This window comes from Homo sapiens, chromosome 6 (assembly GCF_000001405.40).
Source record: "Homo sapiens chromosome 6, GRCh38.p14 Primary Assembly".
NCBI lineage: Eukaryota > Metazoa > Chordata > Mammalia > Primates > Hominidae > Homo > Homo sapiens.
In genome coordinates, this window is record NC_000006.12 from 144,077,245 (window position 1) to 144,102,551 (window position 25,307).

Consider the following 25,307-nt stretch of genomic DNA (forward strand, 5'->3'; position numbering starts at 1 on the left):
AGCCATATCCTTACTTAAATGCCAAGTTCAAGAACTACTTCTTTCAGAAGAGAGTCCCTATTCATTTCTAGGGGTCTGCTCTCTGCCAGTTATCACTACCTCTTCAGAAACCTTGAGCCATTCACTTGTCTTCTTTTATCTCCTCTCTTGTAGTAAATGCTGTATATAAGACACAGTAAATAGATGCTGATATGGTTTGGCTGTGTCTCCCACCCAAATCTCATCCTAAATTGTAGCTCCCATAATTCTCACATCTTGTGGAAGGGATCCAGTGGGAAATAATTGAATCACATGAGCGGTTTCCCCGATACTGTTTTCATGGTAGTGAATAAGTCTCATGAGATCTGTTGATTTTATAAGGGGTTTCCCCTTTTGCTTGGCTCTCTTTCTCTCTTGCTTGCTGCCATGTAAGATGCGCCTTTCACCTTCCACCTTCCACCATGATTGTGAGGTCTCCCCAGCCACGTGGAACTGTGAGTTCATTAAACCTCTTTTTCTTTATAAATTATCCAGTCGCAGGTATGTCTTTATCAGCAGTGTGAAAACAGACTAATACAGATGCCTTCACTTTTCAATTAGAGTATAAATTCCTTAAAGGCAAGGTTTATGTGATTTACTTCTATGTTCTTTTTTATTTTTGTATCCTTACCATCCTGACAAAAACTGGTACTTTATTTCATCAAGTCTAAAATGCTATCAGATGTAGGATGCACCATTATTTTATATACCAGTAGGAGGAAAAAATGTGACTGCTTAACTGAAGGCACAATGCTTTCTTATATTCTTTGTGGTATCAAGAGTGTTGATGACACAGCATTTCTTAAAAGACTTCGTAAAAGAACTAAAAGCCATTGGTGCTGAGCTGTTGAGCTGACTGTGCAAGTATAGAGCAAGAGCTTTTTGACCCTTGCTTCAGAAATGTTGCTAAACATATCAGATTCACTACTTGTCCCTACCCCTCTTCCCATTACAATTTGGGTTCTGAGAGCTAAGAAAATGATCCCATATTTGTCTCCGGATTTTTTCTCAAGCTGCTGACACCCCTTTGGACAGGTCTTGATTTTGGAGTTTTTAATATTTGGGTAAGCACAGTCAAGCCGTGTCATGACTGCCATTGGGCCAACAGTGATTATATGATGCTGCCTGATTTTGGAGATATAAAGATGTGAAGAGAAAACATGTACATCTTAAAATACAGCAAATGCAGTACATAGCATGTAGCTGACTGACTGAATGCTTAACAAATACTGTAAGTATCTTTAAGGGACAACTCTGGCTTAGTTTTGTTCAGCATCCATTCAGTCTTCTCCTGATAACTGTCCCCCTCTTTCTATCAATGGGTCCAACCCCTTACTACTGTGGGCTTGAGTACTTCTGCAGGCATTGACTTCGCCTGTGATCCAGGGGTGGAACATATGCCCATGGCTAAATTAATCATGTTGATGTCCCTGGCCAGAATGATTGGTCCAGGGATCATCTGGGATTTGAACCTGAAGTATATAGCTCTTGGAGCTACTGTCAGCTTCAGGAAGTGGAAACAGTACTGAGGAATCAGAAATGAGAAATTAACAGAGAGCAACAAAGTCCCAGTCACATATTCAAATCGTGGATCTTAAAGCACCAAGACTGAAGCTCCTGGACTCAGTGGTGGCATGAGCCCTAAGCTCTTTTTGCTTCAGCCTGTGGATTTCAATGTCCTTCTTTTGCAACTGAAATTATCTTGAATCAGAAAAGGGAAGATGAATCGCTAGGCAGAGAAACACATTCAAGAAATATTTATTGCCTGTCTACTGCATACTGGCACTGTGTTACATCCTGGGCTATAAAAATGAATAAAATAGTCGCTCCATTGAAGCGCTTCCTAGGTTGGAAGAGAAAAATCTTTCCACCAGCCTTGAGCAGGTTAGTTTGGCATTTTCCTTGAACTCTTTTGCACACCCTGAAAATGATAAATACTAATTTTGCATTAGTGGCTTCATTAGGAGGAATTTCCACAAGTCTGCAATATAACAGATAAAATTTGGACTTTTCTTAACCACATATTTGTGAGAAACTCCATCTTTTCCATAGCCATAATATTTTTTTTAAGAAAAAAATTAAGACATGATACCAATTTATCATGTGCAGTGGTGTGATCATGGCTCACTGCAGCCTCAACCTCCTGGGCTCAAGTGATCCTCCCACCTCAGCCTCTAATGTAGCTGGGACTATAGGCACACATCACCACATCCAGCTAATTTTTTTTTTTTTTTTTTTTTTTTTGAGACAGAGTCTCGCTCTGTCACCCAGGCTGGAGTGCAGTGGTGCGATCTCGGCTCACTGCAAGCTCCGCCTCCCAGGTTCACGCCATTCTCCTGCCTCAGCCTCCCAAGTAGCTGGGACTACAGGCGCCTGCCACCATGCCCGGCTAATTTTTTGTATTTTTAGTAGAGACGGGGTTTCACCGTGTTAGCCAAGGTGGTCCCCATCTTCTGACCTCGTGATCCACCCACCTTGGCCTCCCAAAGTGGTGGGATTACAGGCATGAGCCACCGCGCCCGGCCCGATTTTTGTATTTTTTGTAGAGACGAGGGTTTTGCCATGTTGCCCAGGCTGGTCTTGAACTTCTTGACACAAGCAATCTGCCCACCTCAGCCTCCCAAAGTGCTGGGATTACAGGTGTGAGCCAGCTCGCCCGGTCTAATACTATCTTTTAAAATAAGCAGTGCTGTTTCAAGGAAACTGTTACTGAAAGCATGCACAGACTCCCAAAGTGCTGGGATTACAGGTGTGAGCTACCTCACCCAGCCTAACATTATCTTTTAAAATAAGCACCACTGTTCCAAGAAAGTTGTTACTGAAGATATCCACAGAGACAGTAGAGGGTAGTTTGAATTAAATCTTTTTTAGGTCTATGTACCATGCACTACCGATATTCAAGTTTCAGTTACTCGGTAAAATAGAAAATATTCAGCAGTTTAGGCTGAAGAATAAGAAACGATGTGTCACTTGGGAAATAATGCCTGCTGTACAAATAAATGCCATATTCCTTGCATTGCTTAACATGGCAGAGATAAGCCAAATGATGTTGCTTATTAACATGCTGGGCATTTGAAATTGCATTTTAGCATTCCTATAAACAGCCTGACATTGAAAGATTTCAGTAATTTAGAGCTGGTTGGAAGAAATTATACTACTTAAAACTCATAAAAATTAGTATCCTCAAGTGCATATTTGAAAAAATGAGTTAGTTAATATCAATATGAATGGGAATTTAAAAAATCAAATGCTAAGTGGGAACACAGGATTTTAGTAGGAGTCTTATATAGGTGTAATATATTTGAATATTTGAAACCTAATAAATATGTGCATATGAAAGCCAATTTATATTATGCAAATTGTCTAGGACCTTGTGTCTGAGGCAAAAAACAGCTCTTATACAAATTAGAAATGATATACTAGAATTGAGAGAGACTTAAAGACCATGTGGGTGCAGGGAAAACTCTTCATTTGTAGAGGAGGGCTAAATTGAATAGATCCGAATATAACTTTCATGAAGGCAGGAGGTAGCCATAATCTCACAAAGAACAAATGTGAGGCAATTTTACAGGCTTTGACTATCAAAGAAACTTTCTGTATGGTGATAACTATGCATATATTATTGGCTCTTTTTTGAAAAACGGAAAGAGCTTTTCCAGAAATACAACAGTGACATGCATCACCACTCAAATTTTGACTATGTACAGAATGACTGTTAGGAGGTCACTTTGGCCTTACAGTGCCCATAATGCTTTCAGAAAGACGTGCCCAGTCAGGTGCAGTGGCTCATGCCTGTAATCCCAACACTTTGGAAGGCTGAGGCAGGCAGATCGCTCAAGGCCAGGAGTTCAAGACCAGCCTGGCCAACATGGTGAAACCCCATCTCTACTAGAAATACAAAACTTAGTCAGGTGTGGTGGCGCTTGCCTGTAATCAGCTACTCGGGAAGCTGAAGCAAGTGAATCGCTTGAACCCTGGAGGCGGAGGTTGCAGTGAGTGGAGATTGTGCCATTATACTCTTTTGGAGACAGAGCAAGACTCCATCTCCAAAAGACATGCCCTTTGACTGGCTCTCTGTGAATAGCATCCTGAGAGTTCCATCTGACTTCCCACTAGAAACATTCCAAGAGTCCTGGCCTGGATAGGGATATTGTTTGAATCTTACTATAGAATTTGTAGTGAGCAGGCCGGGTGCAGTGGCTCACACAGGTAATCCCAGCACTTTGGGAGGCTGAGGTGGGCAGATCACTTGAGGTCAGGAGCTCAAGGCCAGTGTAGCCAACATGGCGAAACCCCATTTCTACTAAAAATACAAAAAAATTGCCAGGTGTGGTGGCATGTGCCTGTAATTCCAGCTACTCAGGAGGCTGAGACAGGAGAATCACCTGAACCTGGAAGGTGGAGTTGCAGTGAGCCAAGATCATGCCACTGTACTCCAGCCTGGGTAACAGAAGAAGACTCTCTAAAAAAAAAAAAATAAAAATAGAATTTGGAGTGATCAAAGTTGCTGGCTTAAAGAGTGAATAAACCCACAAACATGGTCTCGGTTTTGGGGTTTTTTTTGGTTTGTTTTAATACTTCTCTCTCTCTCTCTTTTTTTTTTTTTTTTTTTTGACAGAGTTTCTGCTCTTATTGCCCATGCTGGAGTGCAGTGGTGTGATCTTGGCTCACCACAAGGTCCCTCTCCCAGGTTCAAGCGATTCTCCTGCCTCAGTCTCCCGAGTAGCTGGGATTACAGACATGCACCACCACGCCCAGCTAATTTTCGTGGTTTTAGTAGCCACAGGGTTTCACCATGTTAGTCAGGCTGCTCTCGAATTCCTGACGTTAGGTGATCCACCCTCCTCAGCCTCCCAAAGTGCTGGGATTATAGGCATGAGCCACCGCTCCCGGCCTTAAAAATACTTTTCATTAAATAAATTCATCACCTTTAAACTTTTTTTTCAGATTTTTGATACAGAAGCCTGAATAACCAGCTCAAATGCAGTTCATACATTAAGCATTCTCAGGTGCTCCTACAACAAACGAATAACCTCTGCAATCTTTTTCTACTGTACCCATAACAGTATATACATATTATTTAGCATTCAGTTTCCCATTAGTAATGTACATTTTATCAAAATAAACTTGTGTTATCAAACGAAGAACTCCTTCATGCACATATGCCTTATTTACCATCTTAAAAATTCCTATCTGCATGACACAATCTTTGGAGTGTGGGAAATGTAATTAGTACTTCATGTCTTAGTATATGAATTTTAAAGAAGTTCTAGGGCTGAGAGAAAAGGGTTAAAGATGTATTGGCTTCACTATACTAATCATGTGTTGTTTCTTATCATAGAACAGCAAGAAAGAGATAAGTGGGTGTGGGGGGAGGGGGGAGGGATAGCATTGGGAGATATACCTAATGCTAGATGATGAGTTAGTGGGTGCGGCGCACCAGCATGGCACATGTATACATATGTAACTAACCTGCACAATGTGCGCATGTACCCTAAAACTTAAAGTATAATAATAAAAGAAAAAAAAAAAAAGAAAGAGATAAGTGGGAAGGGAGATAGAACAAAAGCCAGAGAACATGCTGAAGGGCTAGAGGAAAAAAATGAATGTCTAATCAGCTTTCATCCTCATGAGTGTGAACATGCTGGCTTTCCACAATTTGCCTTCCACAAATTTTAAGTCTATTTAAAAGAACTGAAAGACAACGTGCATATTTAGTCCTGTGCTCCCACGATATAGTCATCACCTCCAAAGTCCTTACTGACATGTATTTACCTCAGATTTCACCTTCCATAAATCAATAATTGTTTTCCTCTGCATATGGGAAACATTTTGGTTTTAGCAATATATTTTTTCTTCAAGAAACTAAAGGAATTTTCATGTGATCCTATAAAAATGGGTATTGTGTCACTTTTTATTCAATCAAATATGTATTTTGAGATTTACTTGGCTTGAGACTTTCATTTTATGTGAAATTATCAAGTTATTTGAACATTTGATATTTTTCACACATGCTTATTTGTATGCTGATGATAGAAACAAGTGTGTATTTCTTTGAAAGATGTTGAGGTTAGGAAAAAACCCCAAAACCTATGATGCTTGTCAGACTTGATAAAACTAAACTCACTGAGGTAAGGTTGTTAACACATCAGAAAACATCAGAGTTCCACATTGAACGTAAAGGGTAGAAAGATTCATAATCAATCTATGTTTAGCATTTTTCTGTGTCCCATCTCAACTGTATCCAGTCCTCATTGTTCCTCATGAATTTGTTTGTTCATTTATTTATTCACTTACTCATCATTCAACAAACAGTTATTGTGTCCACTCTGTGTCATGCACCACTCTAGAATCTGGAGATGCATTGGTGCACTACATTTTTTTTTTTTTTTTTGAGACAGAGTCTCACTCTGTTGCCCAGGCTGGAGTGCAGTGGCATGTTCTCAGCTGGGTGCAACCTCCACCTCCCAAGTTGAAGTGGTCCTCCTACCTCAGCCTCCCGAGTAGCTGGGAATACAGGTGCACGCCATCACGCCTGGCTAATTTTTTATTTTTAGTAGAGATGGGGTTTCACCATGTTGGCCAGGCTGGTCTTGAACTCCTGACCTGAAGTGATCTGCCCACCTCAGCCTCCCAAAGTGCCAGGATTACAGGTATGAGCCACCCTGCCTGGCCTACTACTTTTTTTGTTTGTTTGAGGAAGGGTCTCATTCTGTCACCCAGGCTAAAGTGCAGTGGTGGCACAATCATGGCTCACTGCAGCCTTGACATCCTGGACTCAAGTGATCCTCCCACCTCAGCCTCCTCAGTAGCTGAGACCACAGGTGCGCACCACCACACCCAGCTAATTTTTGTATTTTTTTTTTTTTTTTTTTTTTTTGTAGAGATGGCATTTCGACATATTGCCCAGGCTGGTCTTGAGCTCCGGAGCTGAAGCAATTTGCTTGCCTCGGCCTCCCATACTGCTGGCATTACAGGTGGGAGCCACCATGCCCAGCCTCATTTTCTTTATTAATTGTGAGTGCAGGACCTTGTTTTCATAATCTTTGTATTACTCTTTAGTGCTTAGGACTGTGCATTACATGGTCTGACTAGTATTGTCAGTCAACAAATATTTTTCAAATATTTTTAAAGTGTCTATAGTGCATTAAATGCTAAGCTACATGATGAATAGCATCAGCTAAAATTGTTGTTCTTGCTTTATGAGATTTTATCATTTAAAGCAGGGGTCCCTAACCCTTGCTGCAGACCCGTACTGGTCTGTGGCCTGTTAGGAACTGGGCAGCACAGCAGGAGGTGAGCGGTGGGTGAGTGAGCATTACTGCCTCAGCTCCACCTCCTGTCAGGTCAGTGACAGCATTAGATTCTCATGGGAGCTTGAACCCTATTGTGAACTGGCATGTGAGGGATCTAGGTTGCACGCTCCTTATGAGACTCTGAGGCAGAATAGTTTCATCCCGAACCTCCCACACCCACCCCCTCAACCCTCCAATCCTCCAATTCCCCAACCCTGGTTCATGGAAAAATTGTCTTCCATGAAACTGGTCCCTGGGGCCAAAAAGGTTGGGGACTGTTGATACAAAGTCCAAGTTAACCTAGCAGAAAAACACAAGAAATGAGAGATGTTCAGCTCCTAAATTTCATAGGAAAATACACATTTTGCTCTTTCTTTTAAACTGATTTTTAGAAAAATTTATTCTAAGGCTGATACACTTTTTTGCAAGGTGAGATGGACGAAGTAAGATTAAAGAACCTCTCTTGAAAGAGAGGCTGAGAAAATTAGAAGACTGGTTGAGGAGTTTAGATAACAACTGGAAATGGTGGGAGGAAAAGGGGTCAAGCAGAGGAAAGGAAGGGGGAGAAGCTGAGGTGGGTCCAGATGAAAAACAGAGTGGAAGGAGCTGCTTTGTAGAGATTGAAGTGTTCAAGAGTCCATCACCTCTTATACTAACCAATTGATTACATGCCTCCTTTGCTGCAGACTGTGAGATCCACAGAGGCCGTGACCCCATTTGCCCCAGTGCAGGTTCAATAAACGTGTGTTAAATAAATGGCTAAGAGTAAAGGTTCTAAAAATAAGAAGCCTACATTCATATAATACATTAAATCTTTGAAAACACATGACACACACCTATATACTGAGGACATTTTGCCCGCATCTGAGGAGACGTATATGAGAATGTTTGTTGCAGCACTGTCTGAAATAATAAAATGCTGGAAGCATTCTAAGTGCCCTTAATTAGAGAATGCACATATAAATTGTGTAGTATATTCCTATGACATAGCGTTAAAAAGGAATGAACTACATAACTATAGCTCTCAACTTGGATAGATCTCAAAAATATAACGTGTGGGCCAGGCACAGTAGCTCACGCCTGTAATCCCAGCACTTTGGGAGGCTAAGGTGGGAGAATCGCCTGAGCCCAGGAGTTTGGAATCAGCCTGCGTGACATGTGGAGATCCTGGCTCTACCAGTAATAAAAAGAATTAGCCAGGTGTGGTGGCATGCATCTGTGGTCCCAGCTAAGTGAGAGGCTGAGTCAGGAGGATTGCTTGAACCCAGGAGGCTGACTCTGCAGTGAGCTGTGATCGCACCACTGCACTCCAGCCTGGGTGACAGAGTGAGACCCTTGTCTCAAAACAAAAAACAAAAAACTATATATATTTAATTAAATTATGTGTGCAATACCATACTATATAATACCAAAATATATAATATCATGTATAATTCAATTATATGTATAATACCATATCTGTATATACTGTAATACAATTATATGTATAATACATTGGTATATTATATCAATTATATGCATAATACCATATATGTATATGTATAATACGTATATAACCCAGATGTATATAATACCATATATATCTACTTTAAACAGCTTTATTGAGATATAATTTACATCCTGTACAATTCATCCATTTAAAGTGAACAGTTCAGCAGGGCACAGTGGCACACACCTGTAGTCCCAGCTACTCCAGAGGCTGAAGCAGAAGGATTGCTTGATCCCAGAAGTTCAAGGCTGCAGTGCGCCATGGCTGCGCCCGTGAATAGTCACTGCATTCTGGCCTAGGCGACATAGCAAAACTCTGTCTCTAGGAAAACAAAATGAAATAAACTTAAAAATAAAATGAACAATTCAATAGGTTTTGGTAAATGTATTATTAATTTTTAAAATTGCAGTAAAAATACATAACATATAATTTGCCATTTTAATTATTTAAGTGTACAATTAATTCAGTTGCATTAATTCACAGTATTGTACAACCATCACTACTATGTTGTGATTATTTTGGAAATAATTTTCCATTACCCCTAAACAAAAATTCTGTAACCATTAAGCAATAATATGTCATTGCTTCTACCCCAAACTTCTAACAACCTCTATTACTTTCAGTCCTGATGAATTTGGCTATTCTAGGTACATCATATAAATGATATTATACCACATTTGTCTTTTTTGTGTTTTGCTTATGTCATTTAGCATAATATCTTCAAGTTCATCTATATAGCATGTATCAGAACTTCATTCCTTTTTTATGGCAGAATAATATTGCATTGTGGGTATATGCCACATTTTGTTTATCCATTCATCTGTTAGTGGACCTGTGGATTTCTTCCACCTTTTGGCTATTGTAGATAATGCTGCATTGGACACTGGCATACAAATATCTATTCCAGTCCTTGCTTTCAATCCCTTTGGTTATATACCTAGAAATGGAATTGTTGAATCATATGATAATTCTATGTCTAGCTTTTTGAGAAACTGCCAGATAGTTTCATTTGTGTGCATGTATATAGATGTATATACACATATATGCATACATATGCGTGTATATACATATGTACATATGCGTATATATACATATGTATATACATATGTACATATGGGTATATATACATATGTATATACATATGTACATATGCATACATATACATATGTATATACACATATGCATACATATGCACATATATGTATCTATACATATGTGTATGTATGCATATACACATAGATTTTTAAAAACACAATAACACTTCTACATATGGTTCCTGGATACGAATATATGTTTATAAAATCTAATGGCTATAAGGGAAGAACTTACTCATAGAAGTGATTACTTTGGTGGTGGGGGTAGGGTTGGACATGAGGACACAGGAGAGACTGGGCTACAAATGGTCAAAGGAGACAATAGTTTTACCTGCAACGCTTCCTTTCAGTTTTAAAAAGGGGCATAGATACATAATTTGCAAATTGTTTTAAAAATAGAAAAAAGGGAAGGAAATTGGACAAAATTTGAGGTAGAAGTATCTCCATGTTATATTATTCTGTGTACTTTTTTTTGTTTAATTAGAAAGAGACAAACTTTTCTGCAAGGTACACATCATTCGATTCTCATATCAAAACTGATGAATGAGATAGTATTAATACCAATGATATCGTTTTAAAGGCAGAATTCTGAAACAGACAGCAGTGGGCCAGAACCAGAGATGAGTGCCCTAGTCTGCTGGTCCAGGGCTTGGAGGTGAGGAGAGGGAGGCTGAGGTGGTGAACACCCTAAACGCTTTGATGCTGTACCACAGGGCCTCAAATCACCTACTGTATTTTCCCTTCGTTTGTAATGTTACGAAGACACTTCTGCTTTAAAGGCCACTGTTTTTAGAGGAGACATGGAGGAAGCAAGGATAAGGTTCACTGAAGTAGGAGGACAGAGTGATAAGAGGGACGCCTAGAGGACAAGATAACAACTGAGAACAGTGGCTAGGAAATGAAGGAAGTGGAGACGAGGAAGGATTCTGAGCTAACGACGAGGAAGGATTCTGAGCTAACGACTAGGAAGGATTCTGAGCTAACACAGATCACAGATAGCGCTTCAAAGAGCCATTTGTACCAGACCCTTTGTGTAGTGTGAGAGATGAGATGGACTCTTCAATGTCTTGGTTTCCTACCAGCACTTCCCCAGCTCCAGGTTTCGGTATTTCAGGGTTGAGTGGGCAGGCGTGATAGAGCACATGTGTGTATCACACATAAAGAAGATGCAGGACAGAGAGAGCTGAAGAAATGTGCGACGTGAAATGAAAAGCCAGTTAAGAACAAATTGTCATCTCTCCAAAGCAGATCAACTGTTGGCTGCCAGATCATTCAGTACTGATGCCTCATCAGTACACATCTTCCAGACATTAATAAAATTAAGGAACAAAATGTATTGGTTTTCTTCTTGCTCTTGTCCTGAAAAAGAATGAGCTGTACATAGCTTCATAACTAATTTGTGCAATATAATTAATGTCTCCTTTCTTTGTAATATCTTTAATTTGCTAGTCTAAGAGAGGTGGAAAGAATCAGAGCTGAGAACAAAGAATTTCCATTCACAAAGGTATTCGCTTTCAGCGATGGAATTACAACCCAAGGAAAGGAAAGTTATCGTGGCTATGAGTTCCAACCTACACACTGCTGCCAAATTTATCTTCCTTGAGTTCAGGGTTGAATACGTCACTTCTGTATTCTAAACTGTTTTCATTATCAAAAGCAGTATCCCTCAAATATTTTTCTCAGAATTATCTTTGTATTTCTTGAGAAAATAAATTCCAGGATTAAATAAATGTAGGAAATGATGGTCAAGCAAAATTTCTTACTATAAAACTTTAAATAATCTGAAGCATGACTCTCCAAGGTATATGGCATTTCTGAAACTTATTTCACCAAGATAGTCCCCCCACCATATCCCTAAAAACCAAAACCAAAACAAAACCAAAAAACCCCAAAAAACCATTGATAATTTTTCAATGAAAATCAGAATTCTGTAAAACACATTTCTGGAAACCCTCATCGACCCCACGAAGAGACTGGATGCTAGTTTAAGTCCCTGCTCTAGCTCTTACTTGCTAAGTGATATTGGGCAAAACCTTTAAATTTTCCTAATATTTTTGCTTATTAGTATAATGGGATAATAACTTTCTCAAGTTTGTCATGAAAACTGAGATGTTGATGTTGGTCTTTGGCACATAGTGTGCACATAGTAAATAGTAATTGTTATGTTATTGTTATCAACCTAGGATGTAGATCCTGGTTTTCCAGCTTTATGAAAGCAGGGAAGCAGGGGCCAAAGGGTGGGAGGTCTTGTAAGCCATAAGAAGTTAATGGAAGAAATGGAGATGGTTTTGTTTTTTGTGGGGTTTTTTTTGGTTTTTTTTTTGAGACGGAGTCTCACTCTGTTGCCCGGGCTTCAGTACAGTGGTGTAATCCCGGCTCACTGCAACCTCCGCCTCCCTGGTTCAAGCAATTCCCCTGACTCAGCCTCATGAGTAGCTGGGATTACAGGCACACACTACCACGCCCAGCTAATTTTTGTATTTTTAGTAGAGACGGGGTTTCACCATGTTGGTCAGGCTGGTCTCGAACTCCTGACCTCGTGATCCACCTGCCTCGGCCTCCCAAAGTGCTGGGATTACAGGCATGAACCACCATGCCCAGCCTGGAAAAGGTTTTAATAGAGAAAAGGGATTTGAATTATCCTTCCCTTCAAGGGCAGCTAAGAAACCTTGCCCTTGTCTTAAATGTGTAAGTTTTGGCTGGGTGTGGTGGCTCACACCTGTAATCCCAGCTCTTGGGGAGGCCGAGGTAGGCGGGTCATGAGGTCAGGAGTTCAAGACCAGCTTGGCCAACATAGTGAAACCCCGTCTCTACTAAAAATACAAAAAAATTAGCCGGGCCGGGTGGCGGGTGCCTGTAATCCCAGCTACTTGGGAGGCTGAGGCAAGGAGAATCACTTGAACCTGGGAGGCGGAGATTGCAGTGAGCCGAGATCGCGCCACTGCACTCCAGCCTGGGCAACAGTGCAAGACTCAATCTCAAAAAAAAAAAAAAAAAAAAAAAGTGTAAGTTTCATTAGCCAAGGCCCTGCCCAAATGCCTTTCTCAATGCCCTCATGCAGTACCTCATTGGCGGTTTGCAATAATTTCTTCCTGTACACTTCTGTAGCCTTTTTTTTCTAAATTTCTTTTTTAGCATTTATCACTTGCTACTACATATTAAAGTTATTTATGTGCTGCTATATTTATTTCTCCAACTAGCATGCTTTCAAAGCATGCCCACATCTTGTCCCATACTTTTAAGCATAATACAGTCACCTGTAAAATGATCACTAAAATTTGTCAAATGAAAAACGTGCCCAATTCTTTATAGTTTACAAAGTGGCTAATTACATCACTCTAAATAAATATAGGAACCGCTTATTTTTCTCCGAAGTTATCAGGAATCTACAAGTTTAGATCTTTTTCTGAAAGTAATTTCCATCTGAGTATCATCTGCTGCCCTCCTGTGTTTGACACAAATATTCTCTCAGATGAGAACAACAAAAACAGAATAGCTCAATTAAATTTATTTGGACGGCACTTTTACTTTCAGATACTTGAAATGTGTTTCCACACAAAACAATTGTGCTGCCTACTAAGATTATTTTTCTTCAATCTTTATTCAATATATTTCAAATTACATTTTTTACTTAGAGTTATATGAGATCTTTCATATTGGTCTGATATTCTTTCAATATAATCTACTAAACTTTTAGTATTTCCATTTAAAAAATCTGAGACAACTTATTTCAAATTATTCTAATACTATTTTTGTATACTAGACCTACTTGGGCAACAGTACAAGACTCTGTACTTCGAAACTAGAAAAACCTGGTTACTAGTTGTGCGATCTTGTGCAAATTACTTTTCTGAACCTGTTTCATTTGCAAAATGAAGACAGTACCTCCCAAAGATCACACAAAACACTTAGCACACCATAAAAATGCTCAATATGTTAGCTGTTATTAATACTATAGGAAACATGCTTTCAAATGGCTCTTCTTTGGTATTACCTATTATGGTAAAGTTAAAGACTGCCTAAGAACATGAATTAGCATGGGCCCAATATATCACCTGGATTAAGCCCTGTCCTTTGATATTCAACACTCAAGATTTATTGGACACCTGGGATGTGTTAGACATCATTCTAGATACTTAGGATATATTGGTTTGTAAAAAAGACCAAAATCCTTGCCTTTGTGAAACCTCACTCTTCATGGAGGTCTTTAAGTTACTGACTTCCTTCTAAATTCTTACTGTACATGTTACTCATTTCTTTACATATGCTATCCCATACCATATATCCAGTCCTTTCCTCTCTATCTCCAATGCAGGCTGTCATCTCTCTTGTTCTACTGCTACAGCCTTGAATTGGGGACAGGAGCTCACTCTAATGACACTTTGTATACCTTTATCAAGTTTTGTAAGGATGGTGACTTAGTTTGACTCTGCTACTCTTTAAAGAGGAAAAAAAATTAGTGTTGACATTTTTATTTAATTGCCAATTATTACAATCTATTTTCTTTTACATTACCCCAGTCTGTTCTCAACACAGCAGCCAGAGGGATCATCTGAAACCACAGTTCAACTGTTTTTCTTGAAGCGATGGCCCATTTCATTCTTTTTTTGTTTTTGTTTTTGTTTTTTTGAGATGGAGTCTCGTTCTGTCGCCCAGGCTGGAATGCAGTGGCACGATCTCGGCTCACTGCAAGCTCCGCCTCCCGGGTTGACACCATTCTCCTGCCTTAGCCTCCCCAGCAGCTGGGGCTACAGGTGCACGCCGCTACGCCCAGGTAATTTTTGTATTTTTAGTAGAGATGGGGTTTCACTGTGTTAGCCAGGATGGTCTCAATATCCTGACCTTGTGATCCACCCGCCTCAGCCTCCCAAAGTGCTGGGATTACAGGCATAAGCCACCACGCCCGGCAATTTCATCCATTTTTGATAAAATATCTGCCAGATACCCAAGTGTAAACAACCATAGTTTAATCTCCTATAGTCATTCTTTCCAGTAAAAATGGTAAGAAAGAAATCCCAGGGAAACTGAAGCCAAAACTATTTTCATAAAAGTAAGATTTTACTTGCCTTTCTTACCATTAACATTTGCACAGATGGTGCAAAAGCAATAGTGATAAAACTACCAGCACTTAGCATGAATCAATGGAGGGGCACAAAAATGTATTGCTAGTCATTGTATACTTCATTGCCATGCACCCTCAGTAAAAACAAAAACAAAAAACCTCAGTTTCACTTAAGAATGTGCTTGATGAAGCAGTAAAAATTGCTAACTTTATGAAATCTTAGCCCTTAAGATGTCTTTTAATATTCTGTGTGATGAAATTCATAATATGCATAAAGCATTTCTGCTGCCTACCAAAGGACAATAGTTTTCTCAAGGAAAAACACTTTTTATTATTTGAGTTGCAAATTGAATTGGCTGCCTTTTTTTTTTTTTTCTCAAGGCACATATTTACAAGAAAAAAATGACAAACTGTATCTTGTTACTCAGACTTGGGTATGTATTGGGTATGTATTTGGCAGACATTTTCTTGAAAATGAACCAAGTGGGCCTTTCACTTAAAGGAAAACAATAATATTTGCTATCAACCTCATGCTTGATAGCTTGATCAAGTTCAAGCTATCAAGTAAAAACTTAAACTTGTGGAAAACTTATACCTTCACAGTAGGTCTTTCAGTTTCCCAATACTATAAAACCTTCCTGAGACAGGGATGATATTACTCAATGTGATTTTTGATATGTATAATGAATGTAACAACATTTGGAAGGTCTGTATAACTCAGTAACCCATTACTTTTCAGATGACTGATGCATGATGTTCCAAATCAGGTATGGGTAAAAGATCCATTCAAAGCTCAACATACATGAATGAATTTTAATGGAACAGAATAAAAAGTTCATTAAACCAGTTTCAGATTCCATGTTGTAACTAACCTTTAAGAAACTACCACTTGTTGGGTTTTAGTATAATATCAAAGAAGTATATGTACATCTATTTGAAAAAGTTAAATATTGCTCCTATACTAAATATTTATGAGAAGTGGATTTTTTCATACTTCGACAAAAATTTCATATCCCAACAGTTTGAATGCAAAAGCAAATATGGGAATCAAGCTGTCCTCTATTAAGCCAAACACAGAAGACCTCTGAAAAACCGGTTTTTCTTAAAAGCCATTCTTCTCACTAAATTATGTCTTGGTAAATTGCCATTTTTCATAAAACAAAAAAAGTTTTTGTTAACATGAAATGGTTTTATTATCATTATTTTTACCATTGACCTTTCTGAGAATTTTCATTATTTTTCAATGAATTAAAACTTTTGTTTTCATTTCTATGGTGGTGAATATCAATAGCCACAATCCACATAAACAGAGGCTCTTTGGTGTCTTCTACAATTTTCTAGTGTAACGAAAAGTTAGGAGCAATGACTCACCCCTGTAATCCCAGCACTTTGGGAGGCTGAGGTGGGTGGATTGCTTGAGCCAGGAGTTCAAGAGCAGCCCGGGAAACATGAGACCCTCATCTCTACAAAAAAACTAAGAAATGCAAAAATTAGCCGGGCATGGTGGCACGTACCTGTAGTACCAACTACTTGGGAGGCTGAGGTGGGAGGATTGCTTGAGCCTTGGAAGTTGAGGCTGCAGTGGGCCATGATCGTGCCACTGCACTCCAGCCTGGAGTTCCAAAGCCACCACTGAGCTAAGCTATGCCAGGTCACGTGACTTCTCTGCGTAAAAACCTTCCAATGGTCTGCAGTGGTGGCTCACACCTGTAATCGTAGCACTTTGGGAAGCTGAAGTGGGAGGACTGCTTGAGGCCAAGAGTTCAAGACCAACCTGGCCAACATATCAAGATCCATCTCGTGTTTTTAAAAACTAAAATTAAAAAAAACCACAACCTTCCAATGGCTCCTCAGAGGTTCATATATTGTCCTACAAGACTCTACTCTGTTTTCCCCTCCATTACCTGTCCCTCTACTTTTCCCCTTACTCACTCCCTCCAGCCATGCTTGCCTCTTTGAAGTTCCTCCAATAAACCATACATACTCCCAGCGTTAGTACCATTGCACTGGCAGTTCCCTCTTCATGGAAAGCAATTTCTCCAGTTTTCCGCATGGCCATTTCCCTCATTTTCCTGAAGTCTTTGCTCAAATGTCACCATCTCAGTAACTTGTGCATCATATTTAAGATTACAGCCCTACCAGCTACTCCCACCCGCACCACATACATTGTTCTCCCCTCCCCGCAGCATCTTCTAACATTTGCTTATTACATCTAGTGTTTGACCTCCTTTCTCCACCACCAGCATAATGTAAGCCCCAAGAACACGGGAAAATGCCTGTCACATAGAGCTCAACAAATATTTGTTGAATGTAGAATGGATGAACTCGCTTGCCAGCTTGTCATTTCTGGAGACATGGCCACAAATTCCCAAGAAAAAAAAAAGGATGCATTTTAAAGAGGCTAGGGAGGACAATGACAGCAAAGACTGCAAAGAGTTTTAAAACAGGAGAAAAAGAAGATGGGATACAATAACCACAAATTTCAATACTGAAGGCATTGTGGGCCTGAAAATAACGCTCTTGGGAAAAGTGGCAGTCGGGGAATTAATTATAAAGGTAGACACGGCGGATCTAAGTGCCTGGCCATGGACACTGGCATGCGCTCCCTCACCCAAACCCACTTCCCGCTCAGCTCTTTCCGGAGCCTTCCACCCTAACACAGAAAGTTCACACCAAGAGACTGAACGATTTCTAAACTTTATGGAAAAAGCCAATGACAATCAATTAGCCAAAAACGAGACGCCAAATCCCATCTCACTCCAGCGCCATGCCCTCTTCTCAAACGCTCGCCGGCTCTAGGACCTCTCCACCAGCACAGTTCTCAGGAGTCCTGCTGGTCTCCCAGTGCTGTTCTAAGGGTCCACATGAAGGCAGGTCAGGCGGGACTCCCCGGGCAAGCACTTCTGTACGCGGAAAGCACGAGGCGCAGGAGCCATGGAGAGCCGGTCCTTTGGAGACAGGAATACTTAAGAGGATTGGCAAACCGGAGAAACGCTGGGAGAGGTGCCCCGCACTGCGGTGGTAAGGCAGAGTCTCAGTTCTCCTCGGGCTTGTCGGCTGGCGGTCCACAAGGCTGAAGCATCTTTTCCATCAAGTTGAAGCGGACTCGCGCTTTGCTCTCATTCTCCGCAATGGCGAAGTAGTTGAGAAGGTCGAAGTGGCCCATGTAGGAGCAGTACGAGTCGCGGTGTTGGTTCACCAGCCACTCCCACTTGGTGGTGTCGGCGTGGCCCGTGCCGATGTACTTGGACTGCAGGTGCTCCAGCTGGCTATGGATGGTGTAGCGGTCAGTCATCTCGCCGCTTTCCCCTTCGCTCTCAGGTCAGAGGACGCAGGTAACAACTCGCCGCTCTAGCGTTTTACAGGAGAGTGAAGCCACCGCGCGGAAGCTCCAGGTCCGCGCCGTCGCAGAAGAATGGCGTCACAACGACTAAGTAGCGTAACTCTCGCTCATAGGGCTCAGAGGCGGAAGCGGAAGCACATTCTGTCACGCAATTGGAGTTGCTGAGGCGACGCAACAAGTGTGCCTCCCCCCTCCATGGAGATCCCCGCCCCATCAGAGAATGTTGCATGATGGTCCACTTAGTGGCTAAGGGAGGCCCTTTTCCAACAAGGAGCGTTGCATGCTGGGACTTGTGGTCTTGGGAGTTCGTGCACGCAGGCTTCCGGGACTCCTGGTCGCGTTCTGTTGTTTGTTTGTTTGTTTGTTTAAGACGGAGTCTTGCACTGTTGCCCGGGCTGCAATGCAATGGCGCGATCTCGGCTCACTGCAACCTCCGCCTCCTGGGTTCACGCGATTCTCCTGCTTCAGCCTCCCGAGTAGCTGGGATGACAGTTGCACACCACCACGCCCGGCTAGTTTTTTTGTATTTTTAGTAAAGACGGGGTTTCACTGGTCTCGAACCCCTGACCTCGTGATCCGCCCGCCTCGGACTCCCAAAGTGCTGGGATTACAGGCGTGAGCCACCGCGCCCGGCCCCTGGTCGCGTTTTAAAAGTGATCTGGGGACCTAGTGGAGGGCGATGTCTGGAGGTGGGGAGCATCCGTGGGTGGCTTGGGGCTGATAGGAAATGGGAAACCCAAGAATGACTGGACTACGAGCAGCCCCGAAAATAAACTCTTGGTGTATTTCGGAGCCGTCGTGGCGGCACGGCCGTCCCTTCACAACCGGGGATGGATTACCCAGAAGTCAGCAGGCGCCAGTTCTGGTCCCAACTATGTCTCTTAGGAGTTTGTGGCATAAAAGAGTTATTTCAGCTCTAACCAGGGTGCTTGGTGAGCAAGTACAGCACCAGTTCCCACACATTCCGGCTTCCACCTCAAGCTCCTCCTTCCTCTCTAGCCACTTATTTTGATATCCTCCCTCCAAGGCCTCACCTCACCCTACTTGGCTCTTCCATTCAGTGGGTTTTGTGGATTCAACCAACCTGATTGAAAATATTGGGGGAAAATATCAGTCTGTACCGAAATGCAGACTTTTTAAGGTTATTATTCCCTAAACAATACAGTATAACAACTATTTACATAGCATTTACATTGTATTAGGTATGTTAAATAATCTAGAGACAAACTATACAGGAGGATGTGCGTATATGCAAATACAAGCCGTTTTATATCAGGGACTTGAGCATCCTCTAGTTTTGGTATCCATGGGGGTCCTGGAACAAATCACTCACGAATACTGAGGGACAACTGTATTTCTCCATGTTACCTGTTGTGTCCATCCCCATTTCCTTGTACAAGCTATTCCCTCTACGTGGAATGTCTGTTCCCTTGGTGAACGCATCTCCCTTTAAAGGCAGCTCAAATGCATCTCCTTAGAGTTTTCTCTGGCTGCTCCAGACAGATGTAAACTCTCTTTCCTCTTTGCAAGTTATACGTCTCTTCCTTATTATTGCTTTATGTCCTACTGTTTGGTTTAATAACTTCCTTACATGGGTAGAAGCTACTTGAAAAAAAGATCCTTTTTTTAAAAAAAAAAAGTCCAAAACAAAAATTTGATAAATGGATAAATTATTACAACCGAAGAGAAGGAAAACTTTACTGGGAAGGAGATAACTTGAAAATAATTTTATTCTGCTGTTTAAACTTCGTTATAACAAATGTTTCACTCCTAAAATGTAAAGAATTTTGCCAGGCATACTTGTGGGAGATGTATCAAACCTTAACATTTTGCCATTTTTCTATGGAGCCTGTTTTTTTGATTGCTGAAAGTGTGTATCCATGCACAATAGTTGTTTTTGTTATGCAAGTTTTAAAGCTCTATATAAATAACACTCCGTCTATATTGTTATAAAAGTTGCTTTTTGCCCTTGTCAGTATTCATGTTACATGTTATGTAACTTTAGTTCATTGTTTACTGCTATACAGTATGTCACTTAATTAGTATAACATAACATGTCCACTCTCTCAATGATGGGCATTTATTTTCGTATTTTTGTTATTAGAAACAATGCCGAAATAAATATTCTTATACATGTGAAGGTGTTTCTCCAGGGCAGTGGTCCTCAACCTTTTTGGCACCAGGGACTGGTTTCGTGGAAGACAATTTTTCCACGGACAGGGGTTATGGCAATGGTTTCGGGATGATTCAGGTGCATTACATTTATTGTGCACTTTATTTCTATTATTATTACATTGTAACATATAATGAAATAATTGTACAACTCACCATAATGTAGAATCATTGGGAGCCCTGAGCTTATTTTCTTGCAACTAGACAGTCCCATCTGGGGGTGATGGGGGATAGTGACACCAAAAGTATGTTGCTTATGTCCAGTCTACTCTGTAATCTCGTTTTGGTTGCTATCACTGCAGAAAACCCTCATTCACATAGATAGGATGTTGGAAATGGAAGCAGACTTTTCTGTGCTTTGGTGCCAATCTGAGGATATTCCACCTTGACTCTAATCCAGAACATACGGAGATTTGAAGTTGTCTCAAACATACTTTTAAGCCACCATTATTTGCAGTCTCAAGCAGTTGATCTTCTAGCACGGGCAAAGTTGATTCACCTGGTTTTTTCACAAATGCGTCATAGATCCATTCCTTCCCAGTTCAGAGGTCTTTTGTAATTGGGAAGTAATGCCCAAACTCTATTGAATGTAAGACAGGTGATCATGCACCGGCTGGGAGAAAGAAGGCCCTGGCTCAGTCTCTTTCAAAATCTCTACTAATGTTTGAAATGTCAAAAATCCCGGTGTTGACTTGTAACCCCCATAATTCCAGTTGGATTTGAATGCAGCCACTTTATCTGCCAACTTGAACACAGTTGTTCTCCTCTAAAGTGACAGATTGAATTCTCTGAGCAGGTTGAATATGTCACACAAGTAAGCAAGTTTTGCCACCTATCCTGTGTCACTGAAATGTGCTTCCAGTGGTGACTATTTTTCTAAAAGAAATCTCTGTAGCAGCCCTCCTAACTCAAAAACTCTGGCCAGTGATCTACCTTTAGAAAGCCATCTCACCTCTGTGTATAAGAAAGATGAATGCGCTCTGTGTCCATCTCCTCACAGAGCTGTGCAAACAGACGTGAGTTAAGGGCATGTACTTCAATATAGCTGATAATTTTAATCACATCCTGCAAAACGTTGTGAAGTTCAGGTGACATTTTTCAGCTAGCCAGCATTTCCCCATGGACGACACAGTGCACAGACACATTCAGAAGCAACCTCTTTGACCCAAGTAGTGAAACCAGAAAGCTGTCCAGTCATGGCAGTTGCTCCACCCATGCTTATACCAACACAAAATGACCAATTCAGTTTTCTTGATTTGTAGTCATTTAAAGACTTGAATAGTTCTGCAGCTGTGGTGTTGGCTGGCAACAAAAGTACACATAACATAGCCTCTTGCACATCCTCCTGAAAATATATTCACAAAAACAAGCGTTGTTGCCTTGTTGTCAGGATTGGTAGACTCGTCAACCTGGATTGTGTACCATGGTGACTTATTAATCCTCTCTAACAATTATGCCTCAATATCCTCTGCTATTACATCAGTTTGTCTAGTTGTGGTGCTAGCCAAAGAGGAATGTGTGCCTTCTTTTGAACTGCAGCCTCTCCTAAAAGTTCACAACAGATGTCCTTAGCAGCAGGGAGGATCAACTCTTCACCAACAGTAAAGGGCTTCTTAGCTTTAGCAATGTGGTTAGCCATTGACTGATGTTCTCAGTACAGACACACTTGATGCGGTAGTGGCCTTCAATAATTGCTTCTGTTTGTGTTCATGTTTTTTTCTTTTGAAAAACTCCAAAACCTCGTCTTTTAATGCAAGTTGCTTGGTCTCCATGTGGTAAAGCGGTTTTGAGGCTTTCATAGTTTCGGTGGATAGAGAGTTACCAAGTATTCTACAAAATGAGCTTGGAGAATGTGAATTACTTGTTGCAAAGAGTAATTTAAGTAGGACCCTCGGTGTTTTCTTTTAAATGCAGCTTTCTTTTCACTGTCAGTCTTAGAGTCTTCTATCTCATCATTGGGTCTTTCTCCTTTTTCAAAGAAGCTCTCTAGTGATGTTTGTTTTTTACTTATTTTGGCTGGGGTTAGCTTGTGTGCTTACCAAAACAGTGGCTGAGACAAGTGCTGGAAAGAAGCATGGATGGAAGTGGTAAATAATGGGTGGGCCATCCACAGACTAAAATAAGTGTTGAATTGTGACTTAAAGCCTGCCACCAGATGCAGCTGTATAACTGAAGTACATCAATTCACTTGCCACTATAAAGCCTGCCACCAGATGCAGCTTAATTGCTACTTACCACTCATTGACAGGGTTTTGATATGAGTCTGGAAGCAATTGATTTATTATGGTCTCTGTGTAGTCAAACCTCTGCTAACGTTAATCTATATTTGCAGCTGCTTCCCAGTGCAAGCTGCAATAAACACCTCAGCTCCACCTCAGATCATCAGGCATTAGATTCTTATAAGGAGTGCACCACCTAGATCCCTCACATGCATAGTTCACAATAGGGTTCAAGCTCCTATGAGAATCTAATGCCACTGCTTATCTGACGGGAGGCGAAGCTCAGGCAGTAGTGCCAGTGATGGGGAGTGTCTGTAAATACGGATGAAGCTTTGCTTGCTTGCTCACTGCTCACCTCCTGCTGTTTGGCCCAGTTCCAGGGGTTGTGGACCCCTGCTCTAGGGCATATACATAGGAATAAAATTGTTGAGACTTAGGGATGAGTGTCTTCCAGCTTTGCTAAATGTTGCCAAATTGCTTTCCAAAGTGATTGTACCAATTGGTTCTTCCACCAGCAGAATGAGAATTCCTTTGGCTCCACATACTTTTCAATACTTGGCGCTGTCAGATATTTTTTAATTTTTCAAATCTGTTGGATGGAATGGAATTTCAATTTGGCTTTAATTTGCATATCGCTGATTAAATAGGGAGGCTGGAGATCTTTTTGTTTATTGATCTATTATATTTCTGCTTCTGTGAATTGCATATTCATATACTTTGCCCATTTCCTACTGGATGTTTGTATTTTTCTTACTAATCTTCAGGAGCTCTTTTTTTTTTTTTTTTTTTTTTTTTTTTTTTTTTTTTTTTGAGACGGAGTCTCGCTCTGTCATCCAGGCTGGAGTGCCGTGGCATGATCTCAGCTCACTGCAACTTCTATCTCTCAAGCAATTCTCCTGCCTTGGCCTCCCAAGTAACTGGGATTACATGCACCCACCACCACTCTTGGCTAATTTTTGTATTTTTAGTAGAGACCAGGTTTTGCCATGTGGACCAGGCTGGTCTCAAACTCCTGGCCTCAAGTGATCCACCCACCTCGGCCTCCCAAAGTGTTGGGATTACAGGCGTGAGCCACTGTGCCTGGCCTAGGAGCTCTTTACATATTCAGGATACTAGGCTTGCGGTTATAAGCAATGAAAGTATCTTTTCCCAGTCTATAGCTTTTCTTTACCCTTTCTTTAGGATATCTTTTGTTGTAGAGAAGTTAAGTTTAAAGTAGTCAGATTTATCAGCCCTTCTTTATGGTTTGTGCTTTTTGTATTTGGTTTAGAAAATGAAATCAATCAAAGCCCTTTCCTGCCAAAGGGCCACAAAAAGAGTTTCCTTTATTGTCTTCTAAAAGTTTTAGAATTTTTGTTTTTCATGTTTACAACTTTAATCCACCTGGAAGCTTTCGTTTCGTTTTGTTTTGATTTATGGATCTAATTTTTAGTATTTTCCTATTTGGCTTTCTAGTTACCAGTGATAACCAATCATTTATTAAATAGTGCATCTTTTTTTCTACTCATTTAGTGCTTCTATTACTTATTTATAGAGCTGGGCATTCTATTCCTTTAGTCTATCTGTCTATACCTTCAACAGTAGCACAGGGTCTTAATTACTGAACCCTTATAATAGGTCTTGATATCTGATAGGATGAAAGCCTGTACAATTTTTTTCTTTCATAAATTTATTGACTATTCTTGATCTTTTGCTTTTCCACATGAATTTAGAATTGGCAGAATCCTTATGGCAATTGTGATAGAGTAGAACAAAGCCGTGAAAATTAATTTAATACTATTTCTATATCATTAAGAATGATTCTAAGATATGAGAGAATTCCTCAAATTCAAAAGCCTTTAGAGGTAAATGGAAAATGCCCTTATGTGTATTAATTAAGAATCAAGATATATTAGTTTGCTAATGCTGCCGTAACAGAAGTACCACTGGTCGTTTAAACAACAGAAATTTATTTTCTCACAGTTCTAGAGCTAGACATCCAAGAGCAAGGTGTTGGCATGGCTGGTTTCATTCTGAGGTATCTCTCCTTGGCTCTCTGTGTCTTCACAAAGCTTTCCTTCCGTGCCTGTTTGTGTTCTAATCTCTTATAAAGACACCAGTCATATTGGATTAGGACTCACTCATATAACCTCATTTTAACTTAATTACCTCTTAAAGGTACTGTCTCCAAATACAGTCCCATTCCAAGGTGCTGGGGGTTAGGATTTTTTTTTTTTTTTTTTTGAGATGGAGTCTTGCTCTGTCACCCAGACAGGAGTGCAGTGGCGTGATCTCAGCTCACTGCAACCTCCACCTCCTAGGTTCAAGCAATTCTCCTGCCTCAGCCTCCCAAGTAGCTGGATTACAGACATGCACCACCATGCCCGGTTAATTTTTGTATTTTTAGTAGACTTGGGGTTTCATTATGTTGGCCAGGCTGTAGGATTTTAACATGTGAATTTTAGAGGGACACAATTCAGCCATAATAGTTATATACAGTGACATGGAATACATAAAATAACTTGCTTTTTACATATTTGTGAATTTAATTAGATTTATGAAAATAATTGAAATACTTGAAAAGATTTTATTTATTAAATCAGATAATTGCAATACTTACAAGGAGCATAAAATAT

General features: G+C 40.5%; 1 protein-coding gene across 1 annotated transcript, besides 3 other annotated features; it reads right to left on the minus strand.

Moving 5' to 3' along the window:
- Positions 6,060-6,209: a silencer, noted in NCBI's record as "silent region_17637". NCBI's record gives its function as "represses an Ori minimal core promoter by ATAC-STARR-seq in GM12878 lymphoblastoid cells {active_cell/tissue: GM12878}" and the evidence as "EXISTENCE:reporter gene assay evidence [ECO:0000049][PMID:35858748]".
- Positions 12,358-12,569: a silencer, noted in NCBI's record as "fragment chr6:144410739-144410950 (GRCh37/hg19 assembly coordinates)". NCBI's record gives its function as "represses an EF-1alpha promoter that drives an FKBP-Casp9 reporter gene in an ReSE screen in K562 erythroleukemia cells {active_cell/tissue: K562}" and the evidence as "EXISTENCE:reporter gene assay evidence [ECO:0000049][PMID:32094911]".
- On the minus strand, positions 17,640-18,329 carry SF3B5 (splicing factor 3b subunit 5). The gene has a single exon (NM_031287.3). The coding sequence runs from the start codon at positions 18,251-18,253 to the stop codon at positions 17,993-17,995; it is 261 nt and encodes an 86-aa protein (NP_112577.1). The 5' UTR covers positions 18,254-18,329; the 3' UTR covers positions 17,640-17,992.
- Positions 18,079-18,778: an enhancer, noted in NCBI's record as "active region_25211". NCBI's record gives its function as "activates an Ori minimal core promoter by ATAC-STARR-seq in GM12878 lymphoblastoid cells {active_cell/tissue: GM12878}" and the evidence as "EXISTENCE:reporter gene assay evidence [ECO:0000049][PMID:35858748]".